Source organism: Homo sapiens, chromosome 12 (assembly GCF_000001405.40).
Source record: "Homo sapiens chromosome 12, GRCh38.p14 Primary Assembly".
Taxonomy (NCBI): Eukaryota; Metazoa; Chordata; class Mammalia; order Primates; family Hominidae; genus Homo; species Homo sapiens.
In genome coordinates, this window is record NC_000012.12 from 11,835,334 (window position 1) to 11,853,105 (window position 17,772).

Here is a 17,772-nt window from a genome sequence, read left to right on the forward strand (position 1 = left end):
CAGAGTAATGGTCTCTCTCCTTCTCTCCTTTTTTTCCTTTTCCTAATGATCATTAACATCTATATTCTTTGACTTTGTTGAATTAAAGTTGCAAGAGATGGCCGTAAATAAAGCAAGTTATGTATGTGCCTCCCTCATTCTGCCCATGCAGCTTCTGTTCCATTTGCAGCTGTGAGCCGTGTAAGACTCTCAAGACCAAGCACCCATGAGTGCCTGGGAGCAAGTAGCCTGTGAAGGGAGGACTTTATTCCTGGATGCATTAAAAGCAGAGTCCCACCTACACCTCCCTCCTCTTCCCATTTATAAATCTACTTCTCCAGGGATCTACAGATTTTTTGGCTATATTTTTAGTCTGTTGATAATTTGAGAAAGTCTCCAAGGATCTAAGTCTTGGATGGGTAGGAGTCAATTCACTCAGTCTTTTTTGAATCCCTAATGGATGTTCAAAACCAGTCTCAATTCTGGATCTGGATGGGACATGCATGTCGAAGTACAGTGTGATGGATAAGAGCACAGATTCTGGAACCAGATTGCCTGGGTTCAGATCTCCGCTTCTGTCATTACTAGGGTTATGTGACCTTGGGCAAGTCCCTTAAATGCGTTGGGCCTCAGTTTCCTAATCTGAATCCCTATCATAGGGTTGTGTGAGCATGCAGTTGAATGAGCTAATATCTATTCATATAAAGTGCTTAGAGCAGTACTAGGTGCATAGTAGTGCTTAGTAAATGACTATTAAGTAAATTAAATCAGCCTGATTAGAATTGCCTCCAGGTGCAAGGCTCTATCCCATTTAGACACGCTAACACACAAGGTCTTAAGGGCTTTAGGTTTAAGGAAAAGGGGCTTTTTCCCCCCTCAATTCTACACCACAACCTTTTTATTCTATTGAATTACAAAGGAAATAACAGTGGGACTTGACTTTGAACACCAAAGTTTATCCAGCCTCTTTCCAGCTCGGTGAACGTGTCCACCTACTTCACTCTTTATGCTAAAGGAAGAGCAGCGACGCTGATAAATGTATTGAGTGGCCTCGAGCAGGTGGCTTGCTCTGTCAAGATCACTTTTGTATGACTGCTGGGATCACCACAGTCTCCCCTGTAACTTGCTGGGTTCCTCTTGTACATAAGCCGAGGGCATTTGCATCGGTTCCTGGTGAGGGGGTTTCCACACGGTGGCCCTGGTTGCTTCAGGGGCTGGGCTGTGGGAGACATTAATGGGAAGTGAAAAGAGAAACTGTTGTGCTTAACCGGCAGAGCTGTTTGGAGTGTGACTCTTCTTGTATTTAGGGAAAAGATTACTCATGAGTATTTTCTTCCATAGAATATAAAGAACCTCAAATTACTACTTGCATCCCCCACCCCCTTCTCACCCACCTCCCTCCGTTGCAGCGTGTCCTCTGCAGAAACTTCAGCATTTTACTCTCAATTCCCCTCCCAAGCAGGATTCAGTTCTGTATTTGCTTTGGGGCCCATGTTTCCAATAAGCCACCCTGTACTTTTTCCTGTTTCTGCCTGAGCATCTTCTGCTCACTGGACCTCTCACCTCCAGGCACCTTCCTAGGCCTGAGGAACCAGACCTTCACATGTGTCCCCTAATGGGAACTCCCTGTGTGAAGGAGAGGAAGGTCCATAATAACAAATCGCAGCGCCATTCTTGTTCAAAGGTGACACCATTGACAGTAAGGAGTTAGGTTTAAGGTTTTTACCAGTTCAAAAACTGAGATTTTGCTGAGTAACCCTCACTGCCACTCCCACCTCCCTGTGATTCTAGATACGTGTTTTCAAGGTCATTGGAGAGAGCTGGTACTTCCCATATCCATGGACTGTTTTTAATAGGCATCACTTTCTGGCCAGTCAGGAGTCAAAAACAAAAACTTTTAGTGGCTGTATTTTATTCTAAAGATCATAAAGCAGTAATGCACCATAAATTATTATTTGAAATTCTAATTTGTTTCCATGTGAAAAAAAAATTATCCTAAAAACACCAAGAAAAAAGCTCTTAAATGCTCATCTCTAATGATTTCCAGTGCCCAGTAGTTCTTTTTTTGGTGCACTACAAAAAAGGAATTTTGGTTTTGAGGGGACTTCCACAGGTTTAGAGGAAGCCAACTACCATTCCTCAAAACTACACTTTGCAAAGGAGCCACTTGGAAGACAATCATGCCCAGAGGCCCTGGACATTTTCCAGGGCATTTGAGCCGTTTGTTCCCCACTTCAGCAGGTAGGAAGAGCAGCCCCATATAGCAAACCAGATTGTTCTTTGGCATGCCTGGTTTAGGATGAAAGGTAATTTTTTCCAGGATCAAACTGAGGGACACTTTTATAACACACTTGTGAAGTCTTCGTAGCAAGTTTAAGTAACTTATAGTGAGAGACGGAAGCTCCTCTTAGCAACACTGATGCCATTGCTCTGTTTGAGCTATTGATTCACACCATGTGATTTTAGAGAATGAAGATCCATTGAACATCCAGCTTCTTCTGACCCAGCAGTTCTTAAATTTGGTCTCATGTCTCCTTTTGATTCTTAAAAATTAATGGAGACCCCAAAGAGCTTTTGCTTATATGGGTTATAGTTATCTGTAGTTACCATATTATTACATAAATTAAACCTGGGTATTTACAAAATATTTATGAATTTAGCAAGTAAAATAGCCAACTCTATATTAATGCAAACATATTTTAAAATATATTTTCCCAAACCAAAAATAATTTGTGAGAAGAGTAGCATTGTTACACATTTTTGAAAGTCTCTTAAAATCTGGCTTAATGGAAGATGGCTGGACGCTCATCTCTGTTTCTGCATTCAATCTGTTGCAAGATCACATCATATGCCTTCTAGAACATTCCACCTAAGAAAGAATGAGAGCGAAAAAGGCAAATAATTAATATTGTTATGACAAGATGTTTTACTTCATAGGCACCCTACAAAGGTCTCGGGAACCCTGATGGGTCCCAAGATCACATTTTGAGAACCACTGTTCTAACTTATCAAAGATTTCTCACAACAGCAAAATAAAATAAAACTATAGACTTACAGTCAGGCTCCCAGAGAGCCAACCTGAGCCAACCTCTCAGCCCCTGCTCTGTACCCCCCTCCTGCCCACTTGGTTCCTACTCAGAGTTCAAGTACCACCCCACCAGGAAGCTCTAATGTCAGTGAGTAGAATAAAAAGGCAGAAGACCTTTTATCCTTACTTTGCCCTCTTATTGCCAGAGGCCAGCCTGATGGTTTCCCAGAGGCTGAGTGAATTGCTCTTCCTGGAAGAAGTTTCAGGGAACATTTCATTATTTGGCAGCTCTGGAAGGTCAAGCTCAGCTCTGGAACATTCTTTCTTCAGAAGGACGCTGGGCTGCAATCAGATCAGCTCTGAATCTGAGGACCCTCCAACCACACTGACACGTGTCATAGTTCTGAGCCCCTGTGGGTGCTGTGGGCACCCTGGAACAGCCCCTGGAACTGGGCAAGGAAGGGCAGGTCTCTAAGACCTACCATCCCTTAAACACATAAAAGATCTTTTTCTCATTTTGCCTCTAAATAAAAAGTTAATCTGACAGCACACCCCAGAGTAGGGTTTGGTGTACAAACTGCTCCCTGGACTCCTCTTGGAGGCTGCTTCTGGGCTTCGAGAAGCCCCCAGTGGGGCGGCTCAAACAAGGGCTGGAGAGGGGACTCAGAGTTGAACATAAGGGCTCTTGAGATGTGGAGACTCATTTTGTTAACTATTCAGAGACCTTCTCCCTTTATTCCAGCTGTCTAACTGACAAGACCTTTCTCTCTTTCTTTCTGCCTCATGCTCTCTCCAACAGGCTTGCAGCCAATTTACTGGAGCAGGGATGACGTAGCCCAGTGGCTCAAGTGGGCTGAAAATGAGTTTTCTTTAAGGCCAATTGACAGCAACACGTTTGAAATGAATGGCAAAGCTCTCCTGCTGCTGACCAAAGAGGACTTTCGCTATCGATCTCCTCATTCAGGTGAGAGTCTGGACTCTTGGCATATGCCCAACTTGGAAAGTCTCTTAGTTAGTGGTTGGTCTTTAACACCCCTCACCCGGCCCAAGAAATCCCAACAGTGAGTCATCACAAGGAAGGGATGACGATGGAAGGAAGTTGAAGGAAGATTATGCTAGCATGAGCCAGTTTGAGGGAAGAAGAGGAAGTGTTTACAGACCAAGGGGGAGAATTTTAAGTTTAGGAGAGGAACCCAGTTTAGTCCTACGTACACTGGAACTTAAGGGCTCTAACTGTGCCACTAAGAAGAAAAAGAAGGCTGGCCGTGGTGGCTCACTCCTATAATCCCAGCACTTTGGGAGGCCAAGGAGGGTGAATTGCTTGAGCCCAGGAGTTTGAGACCAGCCTGGGCAATGTGGCAAAACCTCAACTCTACAGAAATTTTAAAAATTAGCTGAGTGTGGTGGTGTACACCTGTAGTCCCAGCTACTCAAGAGGCTGAGGTGGGAGGATTGCTTGAGCCAAAGAGGTGGAGGCTGCAGTGAGCTGAGATTGCACCACTGCACTCCAGCCCAGGTGACAGAGCGAGAACCTGTCTCAGAAAAAGAAAAAAATGCCATTTTGGCCTTTTGACTCTCTAAAAGAGATAGCTGAGAGTGAATGCAGGCTGTGAACTGCTCAACCGAAAACAAAGAGAGGAAGGAGAAGGACGTAGAAGGGCTAGAAAAGAAAATAGAACTGGGGGAACTGCAGATAAAGACTGGGAAATGGGAGATCCTAGTAGCCAAGGCCAGTTTAGAAAGGCTTCAAGTGGTTTCCCTTAGAAGTAGGACTCGTTTGAGGTAATGCATCTTGTAGCCTGTAGAAATCCTAAAAAATACAAGCAGAGGTCTCCTCGGGCTCATCTGACTCAGAAAGCTTGTCTAATTAAGGGCTCCTGATAATGCATTAGAAGATTTCCATTCAGTAACAAGCATCTCTACCTGCAGAGTGTATTGCTCATGTGGATAAGGCTTCAAAGATTTGTCTCAGTTTCATTTCCTAAACCCTGTGGATATTTAGAAGGTACCTGTCTGGGAACTACATATGTCAAAGGGGAACTGTGGTCTCAGGTTTATGCCTCTTGCGGGATTAATTACTGAAGTACTCAAGGCCCTCCTTTTACTGAATCCCACTGCAGACCTCGACTCTGATGTAACTTGACAAAGGGCGAGGATCCTGCAGAAGGTCTTGGCATAGTCCCTAACTACGTTCAACCTTTATTTACTCCTGGAGACCTGCCAGAAGTTAATAAACTAACCGTCATGAGGAAACGTCCCTCATTACAGGAGATGAGATAAAGCCCCAGCACCCGTATCTCCACTGTTCTTCCCAGTTGCCACAGACCGTTTATATGAAGAAATGCTAAAGAAGTTCCCCAGAAGTAGAGATGTTATTGAAACTTGAAAGTTTATATCTTCAAAATTGAGTAATTTGGAAGGGACACAAACATACCTGAAACATTTTGTCTCATATCATCAATTCTGTATGTAATCTCACAATAAGAAAACTATAAAACAACCATGTAAATAAATCAGACTATCCTAAATAGTTCTTTTGAATTTATTACAAAATACTTCCCTTTTCTATTCCAGTGGAAACTCAGAGATATTATACTCAAAGAGGCAACGTTATATATCTGGAGGAAAAATCCCTACCTCTTTGTGTTCCAATGAAACCATTCATGTAAAGCAAGCAAAGGAAAATACAGTGGTGGGTTTTGACTTGATTTGACTTGGACCTTGGGCAAGCTTTCCTCCCAAGTCTCTATAAATTTCCCCTTCATCCTATCTCAGGTGCACTTTTTTATAGCTGGTTTATTTTCCTCCACAGTGACCTCTTAGCATTATTTGTGAAACTGGGTTCTCTCTGCTCAGAGCTATGAACAAAGATACGTGAAAATCTGTCCGCAGTTCCTTGCCACTTTGTCGAGTCTTTGTCAGGTGGGCCATGTGGAAGATGGTGCTGCTCTCAAGGAAGTTACTGTCCAGTTAGAGGCAGGATTGCGTTGATCTAAAAGGCCAAAGAAGGCTGGAGGAGGGAGAGAGCAGAGTAGCACTGGTGTCGGGAGAGAAGGAATGGAGTTGGTTTGGACCATGAAGAATGGGTGGGATTGAGTAGGCAGAGGGTAATTGGAACAGCATCACCAAGTATATTTGGGTGATGGTGAGAATGCCCACCTGATGAGTAGAAGAGGCAGAAAAGGCAGGAAGCCCTGATAAGCCTGATGCACTAGAATGGATGTGAGGTGCTATATAGATCAGTTAGGAGGTGGCAATAGAAATTCATTCCATGAGTATTCACCAAGCAACTCTATGCCAGAGGTACACAGGTACAGGCTAAGGGAGTTCAGAGATTAGAGGGGCCATTTCTAGCTGGCTTGTCGAACAAACCTCATAGACAAGGTAATGGAGCCTGACTTTGAAAACTTTGAAAGGCAAACAAGAAGGAGATGAGGAAGCATGTTAAGAAGGAGATGTAGGCCGGGCGCGGTGGCTCACGCCTGTAATCCCAGCACTTTGGGAGGCCGAGGCGGGCGGATCACGAGGTCAGGAGATCGAGACCATCCCGGCTAAAACGGTGAAACCCCGTCTCTCCTAAAAATACAAAAAATTAGCCGGGCGTAGTGGCGGGCGCCTGTAGTCCCAGCTACTTGGGAGGCTGAGGCAGGAGAATGGCGTGAACCCGGGAGGCGGAGCTTGCAGTGAGCCGAGATCCCGCCACTGCACTCCAGCCTGGGCGACAGAGCGAGACTCCGTCTCAAAAAAAAAAAAAAAAAGAAGAAGAAGGAGATGTAGGCTGGTGTACATGGAAGAGGAATTCAGAGACAAGACTGCACGTGCTAGACACTCCCTTTGAAACATGGTCGAACATCACTCACCATGCCTCTCCGGCTTGTCTGATTGCCTCCTCACATTTCAAACTGGTGGACTGTCTCCTGGAAGGCTTCTCTTGACTCCCATCCCTACTTCCCTAATTCCATTCCACTTTCCTTTCTCCCATCTTGTTCTACCTCCATCTAGGCTAGGTGCTGTTTCTCCTTTATCTTAGAGCATTCTTTCCCTCTGTCATGGCCCTTGACACAGATACACACACACACACACACACACACACACACACAGTGTTATACATTGTTTGCTGATTGTTTGCTACTCCGGATCCCTCCCCTAGAGTGGAAAGTTCAATGTGGGCAGTGATTGTGTTCTATTAAGTCGCCAAGTCTCCAGTACCTAACACCAGGGCATGGCTTCCAGGTGGCACTCAACAAATGTAGGTTGAATGATGACCCGGTTTGAGAGTACCCAGGTTAAGAAGTTTGGGTTTTATTTTACAGGTAATTGGAACCACTGGAAAGTTTTGATCAGGGAAATATGATTGGAGCTCTCTTTTTGCAACAGACATTTTCCACCAGTGCGTAGGGTAGATTCATTGGCTTACTTAAAGCAGGAAAGCTAGTTAGAGTGTCCTTGCTGTGATCCTAATGGGAGGCAGTGAAGCCCAGACTGGATCAGTGAGATCAAAATAATACTCAGGCACAAAGTGGCTAGCTAAGATGGGGAGCTGACTTGGAAGTAGTGGTTAGAGTTCATTTTTAAAGCAAGCAATGCCAGGACATTCAAGAAAACTTGTCCTGATCTGCAGTTGGACATCTAAAACAAGAGGCAGGCCAGGGCTGGGAATAATAGATGTGAGCATCATACATCGTCTCCATTATGTAGAATTTTATGAGCTGGGGATAAAGATAAATTTATACGGAAGGTAATTTAATTAAGGCACCCACTAGAAAGCCATGGACAGAATTTCAAGGCGATGCCTGCCAGCAGGGCCTGTAGGAAAACTTACCACAGAACACAGGAGTATTGCGAATGGGTTTATAAGACAACTAAGTTGGAGTTGAGAAGACCCATCTGATGAAGGGGTCACTCAGCAAGAGGGGGAAGGCCACAGGCATCCTCCTTAGGCAGGGGCAAGATCTAGATTGAAAATCCTTTTTATTTTCCAGATGTAACATTTGCCACTGTTTCTTCTGACATGGGCTTTCTCCTTTAGCAGTTTGGTGTAGTGAAAGTCCTCAGGCCTGGCTTCTTTCTACACCTGGCCCTTCACAAATCACGTCACTTCACTTGGCCTTATTTTCCTCATCCACAAAATGCAGTTCTCACCACATGGATCCTAAGCTCCCTTCCATTCTTAACAGTTCAGCCCAACTTCAACACTGAAACAGTGTTAAGTTGCTAGCAAACAATGTAGCTTTCTATGCTCTCTATATATGGAAACAACATTCTTTAACACAACTCCTCTCCAATGTAGAGAGGAGAGCACTGGACTCAATGAGTTATAATTACCTGGAATACGATTATACCTTAAGTCAAATACAGTAGACTCCCTGAATGCCATATTCTTTGACCAGCTTAACAAATTTATCGCATCTACTTCCAGGACAAGAATCCTCCATTTTCAACCCCTAGGATAAAGCAGGGAACATTTGCAGTGTGCTTTAAATAATTATATGGTCTCTAACCAGAAGATTTCAAGGTTGGAGACAAATGGAATATTTTCTTTGGAATAGTCTCCCAGTTGGAGGATATAACAGATGACAAGTTTATAACATTTGTAAAGTTAAAGAATAAATGGAAGGGATCCCAATTTTATAAAACGTCACCTGGACAGAATAATTTTACAAAGACCTTGGGCTACTAGATAGTTATCACATTAACTGGTTCTGAAGTGATTTAAATTCAGAGAGGTATTTGAGTACTTGACTACTTTGAGACTCTGAGAAAACACATTGACAGGAGGGAACAGACAGGTTGGCATTTATATTAACCCTTACTTAGGGTTATCCATTGCATGACATTCAGGTGGAATGGATTTAGGTACCCATTATTTTCTCCGAACAAGGAAACCCACAAGTTATTATCAATTTAATTCATGTTACACTCACTTGCTATCAATGCTAAAAAAGGGAAAGAAACATATGTTCAGAGTTCCTTCAATTCAGCAAAACTGTATTGGGGATTTGCTAAATATATTGAGGATTTTAGTAGACTAAAATCTGCAGTCTTTTCATATACTAGAGTGTGATTTTGCAAATTGTTTCTTCCCTTTCCAACCCACCAGAACCTTTGTCTTTGGAAATATGCTTTGCTTATATTTTTCAAATATAGTAAAATTTTCTTTCAAAGTTAAACTGAAAATACTGGTCTTTACATAGTATTTCTTGAATCAAAATTGGCCTATTAATTTCTATTAAGCAATGGTAGGTTTGCCAGATTGAAGGGCTGTGTCAACTGGCTATTTTAGAATTAAGTCAGAGCATCCAAGGATATAGGTCACAGAAGGGAAATTGTAGCCATGAAATGTGGGAGTTGTAGCAGGCATGACCCTTGTCTGAAGACACCAGAGTTGGCTCTTTCTTTACTGTGTCTTTGAGCAAGCCAAAAAAAAAAAAAAAGTGTATCACACATCAGAGAAATGCTTCGATAGGTCACTTACGTGAAAGTCATTTTATTTCTTTTCTTTTTTTTTTTTAGATGGATTCTCGCTCTGTCGCCAGGCTGGAGTGCAGTGCCGTGATCTCGGCTCACTGCAACCTCCGCCTCCAGGGTTCAAGCAATTCTCCTGCCTCAGCCTCCTGAGTAGCTGGGACTACAGGCGTGCGCCACAACACCCAGCTAATTTTTGTATTTTAGTAGAGATGAGGTTTCACCGTGTTGGCCAGGATGATCTCAATCTCTTGACCTCATGATCTACCCACTTTGGCCTCCCAAAGTGCTAGGATTACAGGCGTGAGCTACTGCACCCGGCCATCATTTTATTTCTTAGCTCTTTGCCTGTCCCATTTGTGAAATGGAGGTGGGCACCCACCCTGTTGTCATATACTTGAAAAATGCAAGTTTTAGCAATGTTAAGGTTCTACTTTAAACTTACTAAACTTAAGAAGTTAAAAGTTGGAGAGACCTAGGTAGCCTTGCAGATGACGCTAAACATTGGTTATACAAGTTGATGTGATGGTAACGTAGGGAAAACCAACTGCACAGTGCTTCCTTTAAACACATACTTATTTCATAAAGTTCTGTTTTCTCGAGAGCTTATTTTGTTTATCTCACCTTATAGTCCATATCCAGCTGTAATTGTCTTACTGTATCTGTTTTCTAACAGATTTATTCTTGTCTTAAATATGATACTTAAATTTTCCCACAACCTGTTCCTTTTTTCTCAGGGTCTCTGTGTATAAGACATAAATATTAAACCAAATTTCAAATATTTGTTGCTAAGTAAAAGACTAATTTATTTTTGTGGTCACAGAAGGCACTCCAGATTAAATTAAAAGGTTAATTCAATTGGCCTGCAAAAATGCACTGAATGGAATGCTTAGAAACTAGGACCAGGCTGGGTGCAGTGGCTCACACCTGTAATCCCAGCACTTAAGGAGGCCAAGGCGGGCAGATCACGGGGTCAGGAGATCAAGACCATCCTGGCTAATATGGTGAAACCTCATCTCTACCAAAAATGCAAAAAATCAGCCGGGCGTGGTGGCACGCACCTGTATTCCCAGCTACTCAGGAGGCTGAGGCAGGAGAATCGCTTGAACCCAGGAGGCGGAGGTTGCAGTGAGCCGAGATCACGCCATTGCTCTCCAGCCTGGGCAACAGAGTGAGACTCCGTCTCAAAAAAAAAAAAAAGAAAAAAGAAACTAGGACCAAGCAGAGTTAGAAAACCAAGCAGTCCCATTACAGGAATGGGCATGTTATGCACTGGTGTTTTCACTGTTGAATTTATTATGTAACTTAAGGGACCGAAGCTTAGGGCTTCATCCTGAACCCATCAAAGGCAGAAAGGGCCCAACAGAGAGAACATTCTGACATATCTAAAAAGTACCTCTCCCACACCAGGCATACTCTTACTTTAAAAAAAAAAAAATGGCCAGAGGGAATCTGAAGCCTCTGAATAAAAATCAAAGAGAAGAGAGAGCTGTTTGCAAATTAAAGAATGTGTTACTTAGATAATCTACGTGTAAGGATATGTACATAGCAAATCATCACCTGAAAAATGCAGATTTTAACAATGTTAGGGTTCTACTTTAAACCTGCTAAACTTGAGAAGTTAAAAGTTGCAAAACCCCCTGGGAGAGGCTCTAGGTAGCATTGCAGATGATGCGAAACATTGATTCCAGCCTTCTGAGAACAAGTAGCGTATAATAAGAACGTTTAAACTAATCATACACTTTCACTGATAATTCTATTCCTAAGCAAATAGCCGAAGGAAACCATCCAAGAGTGGGCAAAAAAAAAAAGATGCCCTTAACAATTCTATTTATAGTAGTTAAAAACTGGAAATTCCCCAACCACCCCCACTGTGGGACTAGCTAAACAAACTTGGGGAGAGTAAATATCATGGGATACACGGTAGCCTCACAGCCATTCATTCACTCACTCACTGATTATTTTTTCAGTAGATTTTGCAGGGCTCTGCAGGTCATGTTCAGGATTTTACATGTTTGTTTGAAGACAAGTAGAAGCCATTTGTTTTTTGTTGTTTGTTTGTTTTTGTTTGTTTTGTTTTGTTTTGAGATGGAGTCTCGCTCTGTCGCCCAGGCTGGAGTGCAGTGGCACGATCTTGGCTCACTGCAAGGTCCACCTTCCGGGTTCACGCCATTCTCCTGCCTCAGCCTCCCGAGTAGCTGGGACTACAGGCAGAGGATCGGCATGGCAAGGTGCGGCGGTGAAAAGTGGAGGCGGGGCATCTGTTGGGCTGCAGTCTACGAGCAATAGTTGTGACATTAACTAAGGTGAGGCCCACTGAGAGACGAGGTGGTTCCAGAAACAGATAAAAGGCAGAGTCTGCAGGTCTTGGTGACCACTTTCATGTGAGATGAGAAGGAAGAGAGGCCTTAACGATTACTCCCAGGTTTCTGGTCTGATCATCTGAGCATTTGCTGACCTAAGAAACACCATCTCATCTGTAGAGATGTTTGTGTTAGGCACATCAAATGTGTGGTGCCTATATGACCTCCAGGAGGAATTACTTAGGAGATCACGGAATGTGGTTCTGGAGTTCAGAAGAAGTGCCAGGCTGGAGTAGATTTAGCATAGACGAGCCGATTGAAGCCATGGGAGTAGATGAGGTTGCCCAAGAAGAAGGGCAGGTGAGAGACCTGGGGAACCTTACTACTGAAGGGCTGGAGAAGGAGGAAGAGCAGAGAAGTAGGCGGAAAACCAGGATAAGTGGAAATCTCTGAAGCCATGGAGTATTCTAAGAGAAGGGAAGTAGAGATTGCTGGTGAGAATGTTGTTGAGAAGTCAGGCAGTTCCCTGAGTACCAACCATTGCCCTTTGGATTTGACAACAGGGAGGTGACCTGAGCAAAAGCAGATTGGAGAAGGGTGGGAGTGGGAACCAGAATGGAAGGTGAGGAAGTGGTGAGAATGGTGTTGGACAGCTCCCCTGGGAAGTTTGGCTATAAAGGGAGGAGAGAAACAGGAGCAGTTCCTAACAGGGAGGATGGGGACAAGGGGCATGTACATGTGGACAGGAAAAAAACTTGAAACTGCTTAAAAGCTAAAGGGAAGAAACCCAATAGAAGAAGTTGGCAATACGACTGCAAATGGGGACAGTAAGAGCTAACTGTAAACTGGAAATGTCTGTATGAAATGATGTCAACTGGGGAAAAAAATTCCATCCATATGAATGTGACTTTGTAAAACTTACGCATGTGCTTTAAATACAAAAGTACTGAAACAAAGAACATTTTTTGCCAGATTTTGTGAGACATGTCTGTTCACGCTTATGACAATTGCAAGAGACACCATCCATTGAGCGTTTATGATGGCAGACGTGGGGCTGGTGCTCTGCACGTATCATCTCATTTAATCCTTATAACAGCCCTGCCAAGTCTGTGGCATAGTTCTCATTTTACACACAAAAATATTGAACTAAGCCCTGAACTATGGCTCGGAGAAGAAAAATAGCTTCCCTAAGGGCATACAGCTGACAAAGAGAGGAACAAGATTCAAACTTGGGACTCCCTTGCTCCAGAGCCCAAATTCTTTCCTCTAAAATTAAGTAACTTAAATAAATTTAACCCCCCTCAACAGCATCTTGCATGTTCTTGGTCCTCAGACATTAGTAAGATTGATCAGCCAAGTCACAGCAGTATTGTTCACTCGCTCTCTCCTGTCCATTTGGAACACATTACAATACAATAATGGAATTTAGGATTCTCAAAGAACGTGCCTGGCTTTTCATGTAAAGATCACCAATGCAAAACTGTGTTTTGTTTCTGTGTGTGCGTGTGTGTGCGCACGCGCGTGTGCATGCACCCAGGAGTATATCTAGATTTTATGGGCCTGAGGCTTACGGTTTGGGCAATATGAATCTTTCTAGAACTCTTCCCAGGGACCTGCGCAAGTGAAGGGCCCCGAAGCTCACTAGCTTCATGGTACATCAGCCTCTGCACATGCGTGTGTTTACATGAACTGTGTATGTATGCGTGAAGATAGATGGAGGAACCAACGAAAACCATGGTTCTTTGACCAGTAGGGCTCAGTTCCATTGAATAGTACAATAGAAATACTAGTTAGTACCAGTCACTGTGTTTCTTTTCTGGGAAGAGAGAGAAGATTTATTAAAAATCAAATGGGTTAAGAATTTTCTGAAAAATGCCCTTTGAATTTCAGCCATTAGCTAAGTTAGATATACAGTGCTGTGGCGCATGCTCTTTATTTTCAGTAGGCAAATAAATATAACATTTTTAAATATATTCTTTATCCCAGAGACTGTTTTGGCGTTGTTTGTTTGTTTGTTTGTTTGAAACAAGGTCTCACTCTCATGCAGGCTGGAGTGCAGTGATGTGATCACAGCTCACTGCAGCCTCGACCTCCTGGGCTCAAGCAATCCTCCCAGCTCAGCCTCCCGAGTAGCCGGGACAATGGGCACGCATCACCACGCCCAACTAATTTTTGTTTTTTTTGTAGAGATGGGGATCTCACTATATTACCCAGGCTGGTCTCAAACTCCTGGGCTCAAGTGATCCTCCTGCCTCTGCCTCCCAAAGTGCTGGGATTATAGGTGTGACGCACAGCACCTAGCCAGATTCTTTTGTTAGTAACACCTTTTAGATGTGATCTCCTCCATATATGAAAATTGGAAGAATACATCAAGAGAGCAGGCTGGGTGTCGAGGAATGAAGGGACACTGGAAATGAAAGAAGATGGAGGGCTGTCTTCATTTACTTAGCAACCTGCTATAGACAAGACACATATTCTGTGTTACTTCACAAGCCAAAACTAAGAACCAAAGTACAGGGATTGCAGGGGAAGCCAGATTCCACCTCAGCAGAGAAACTTTCTATCAACTAGAGCTGTCCAAAAATGGTTTGCTTGCGCCGTGACTGGCTACCCATCACTGGAAGTACCCAGCCAAAGCCACTTCTTTCTGGGAGAAGGGGAGGTGGGAGACTCTTAGTGAGCAAAGTTTGAGTCAATCTAGGAAACCTCTAGAATCCTGTCTAGATCTAATATTCCAAGTTATTACTGGGACACACTATCGCTGCCAATCATATGCTCACAGTGCACGCACAGCAAGTGGTCCCCGTCCGCATGGTGGTGATGTGTTTTTGCTGAGCCAGCCGCATTCCCTGACGGAGCCCCTAGTTGCTGAGGAAACATGTCTGTGCATGGACTGACTCAGCTAAGGCCACACTCCTGGGTCTTAGAACTAAGTTTTTTCGTGACCCAGTACCCAGGACCTCGGGTCCATGTTCCCACCCGTAGCCGCCTCATGGATAGCATTTAAGATAACTCCCAATACCTTATTAGTCTCCTAATAGGCTTCTGGTCTAGGTAGGAAACTGGCCGAGTCCACTTGACCCGCCCCTCCCCCTGCTTCCTCCTGCACACTCGGGAAGAACCCCTCTGACCCTGCTCCCTTGGCCAGCGTCAGTATGGGAGGCTGAAGCAAGCCCATGCAGAAGCCTGGGAGGTGTGCGGCAGACCACGTGTCAGACCCCCAGAGGCTTAGCCCACCAGGTCAGGATGAGACGTCCAGAGAACCCAAGACTAGGAGAGTGGCCTCAGTTAACCTTCTTTACCCTTTCTGGAAGGGGAACGTAAAGCTGGCCGTGACCCAGATATTCCTCTATTCTCCATGTGAGACCTCCTTAGAGATCTACACACCTGTCCCAAGCCACTATAATAATATCAGGAATAGTAATGATGGGAGTGTTTGTGGTGGTGGTGGTAGTGGTGGTGGTAGTAAAATCAATGACTAGTGTTTACTGAGCTTTTCCTGTTTGCCTCACGCCATGATGAGCTTGTTACATAGACCATCTTATTGAATCGTTACAACGATCTCACAAGGTAGATGCCATCAACACTGCCATTTTATAGATGAGGAAACTGAGGCCAAGTGACATTAAAGGGCATGCCCGAGGAGGCACCAGTCTGACTCCAGAGCATGGCCTCTTCACCATGCTGCTGTCTTTCCTCAGTTTCTCTCTCATGAAAACACAGAAGGAAAAGTCACCTGCCTGCTCTCCAGCCCTTGTTTGAGCCACCCCACCGGGGGCTTCTCCAAGCCCAGAAGCAGCCACCAAGAGGGGTCCAGGGAGCAGTGTGTGCACCAAACCCTACTCTGGGTGCTTCTTGACCTTTCCCTCCTTTAACCCTCATAGCAAATGCTGGAGGTCGGTGTTATTATTTGCATTTTACAGAGAAGTTCAGGGACTTGTTCAAGGTCACCTGGTGCACAGGAGTTGGGACTCCCACCGAGGCAGCCGTGCCCACCTCTGCAGTCAGCACCTCCCACCACCACACCAGCCCGCCTGGTTAAGTGAACCAAGCTGAACACCCTCACAGACACTAAATTTATATTTCCTGGCCTCCCCTTCCAAAATGGATACACTAATTACTGGACCTTTTTTTTTTTAGTAATAGTAATCATCAGGAACACATTTTTCAATGTTTTCATTTTTCTATTCCGCATACTACCAAAAAAACCAGATAAAACCCAGCAAGTGTGAGGCCCTGTAAATTAGCAAAAGTTCAGGAAGTCATTACACGAAACCAAAAGAAACAAAGTGTTGATTAGGGGCTTATTTTTGTATGAGATTAAAATATGAATCATTAAAATAGGACTGTATTTCAGGCTTCTTATCCCCGCCTCATCAGAGACATCACCATGACTACTAGGTTTGGATTCAATGAATTCCGAAGCCGTTCTCAGCTCTCAAATGCAGTCATGTGTGCCATGGTTCTGCCTTATACATAGCAGTTTCAAAAGTCTGGTCCAGGACACCTCTGCATCTTCCTGCCCATCTCCTTTTAATAAAATGCCCAAGTGACATGGTGTCTGCAGCTCTTTGAGGTATTTTGCTTTATTTAGTCATGATACTAAGTAGTGGCAGAAAGTTATACTAACAGCAACCAAATTTCAAAGGTAGAGGTAGGAACAAAGTCAAGGCAAAAACACAAGGTTCCCTCAGGAATCCCTTAGAATAGGGTATCCGTGGAGTTTTATTTAGTGTCAGTGATAGAGGAGCAGGAGTTTGTAGAAAAAAAGAAATTAATATGGAACGTTTCTCAGGTCCATGCTGAGCTTGAAAGAAAAAATAATACAGCAATATCTTCAATCCAAAATATGCCTTGAATTTAAGTTGGTAATTAAAATGTTTGTTTAAAAAAAGTCGCTAAAATTAGAGACAAAGACCCATTGTTTGTTATTACTGCTGACTGCATATCTGTGTGTGGAGAAGGGTGTGAGGAGACAGTCACAGGCCTGTGATATTGTAAAGATTTATCACCCACCCCCAAAGGGTTTTGAGGCACCCACCTGCATTTTCAGCTTGGATCTAAGTCAAGGGGTGGGACAAGACCATGACAGGTTTTGGGGTTTGTTTATTTTTTGCTAATTACTCGTGGACACTTCAAATACCAAATATATCAGAACAGAAAGGCACCTGCTCAACCCAGCCCCTGCCATCCTCTGGCAATGGCCTGACATCTCTAGATGATTTTCTAGAGATTGTGGAACCTTGGAGCAATGCCTGTGTGCATTTTTAAAGGAGGGAAGCATCCCAGAACATGCCAGTTCCTTATAGAGTATCTTGAATAGTTACCACCTCTAACCGGACTTGTGAATTTTTTTCATGTTTATTCTTTTCCCGTCTAGGATTGAGATTGGTTAAAAAGGCATATTTTTCTCTGTAGGGAAAATTTCTGTGAAGAATCTATGAGTTGTCATTGGAGCATTACAAATGTTCTTAATGACTTCATAATTCTTCGAGTAATCTGAAGTGCAAGCTAAGATAGATGTAAAAAGAACATCCTCACAAAAAATAAGAGCAATAAATTGGGATAGTTTAAATTCCCTGCCATTGTTCGGCAGCTACTGAAGCAGTTCAGTAATGTGGGAAAATGTTCAAAACCTAATGTGGAGGGAAAAGAGGATACTCAACTATTAAAAGCCCGCTTCTAACTATAGAACTATAGATAGTATTAACAGGGCTTCTGTATCTTAGTGATGATGGGATTCTAGGTCATGTTTTGTTTTCTTTCTGATTTTCTGCCTTTTTAAAACATTTTTGGGGCCGTGCACGGTAGCTTACACCTGTAATCCCAGCACTTTGGGAGGCCTAGGCGAGTGGATCACTTGAGCTCAGGAGTTTGAGACCAACCTGAACAGCATGGTGAAACCCTGTCTCTACTGAAAATACAAAAATCAGCTGGGTGTGTTGGTTCGCACCTGTAGTCCCAGCTACTTGGAGGGCTGAGGTGGGAGGATCACTT

The 17,772-nt window shown here is 43.6% G+C and overlaps 1 protein-coding gene across 13 annotated transcripts in view, besides 2 other annotated features; it reads left to right on the forward strand.

Moving 5' to 3' along the window:
• Window positions 1-17,772, forward strand: part of ETV6 (ETS variant transcription factor 6) — a 245,704-nt gene that overhangs the window by 185,660 nt on the left and 42,272 nt on the right. For 11 of the 13 annotated variants that reach the window (XM_047428502.1, NM_001413914.1, NM_001987.5 and 8 more), the window contains one exon: window positions 3,807-3,971. In XM_047428502.1, the coding sequence (XP_047284458.1) occupies window positions 3,807-3,971 (165 nt within the window). Of the gene's footprint in view, window positions 1-3,806; window positions 3,972-9,520; window positions 10,254-11,645; window positions 11,779-17,772 lie in introns of those variants that run through there. The other 2 variants (NM_001413918.1, XM_011520612.3) reach the window with 2 other exon arrangements.
• Window positions 1,082-1,311: an enhancer, noted in NCBI's record as "active region_5997". NCBI's record gives its function as "activates an Ori minimal core promoter by ATAC-STARR-seq in GM12878 lymphoblastoid cells {active_cell/tissue: GM12878}" and the evidence as "EXISTENCE:reporter gene assay evidence [ECO:0000049][PMID:35858748]".
• Window positions 3,083-4,282: an enhancer, noted in NCBI's record as "BRD4-independent group 4 enhancer chr12:11991350-11992549 (GRCh37/hg19 assembly coordinates)". NCBI's record gives its function as "activates an origin of replication core promoter dependent on BRD2, P300/CBP, MED14 and CDK7 cofactors, and independent of BRD4, by STARR-seq in HCT116 cells {active_cell/tissue: HCT116}" and the evidence as "EXISTENCE:reporter gene assay evidence [ECO:0000049][PMID:35650434]".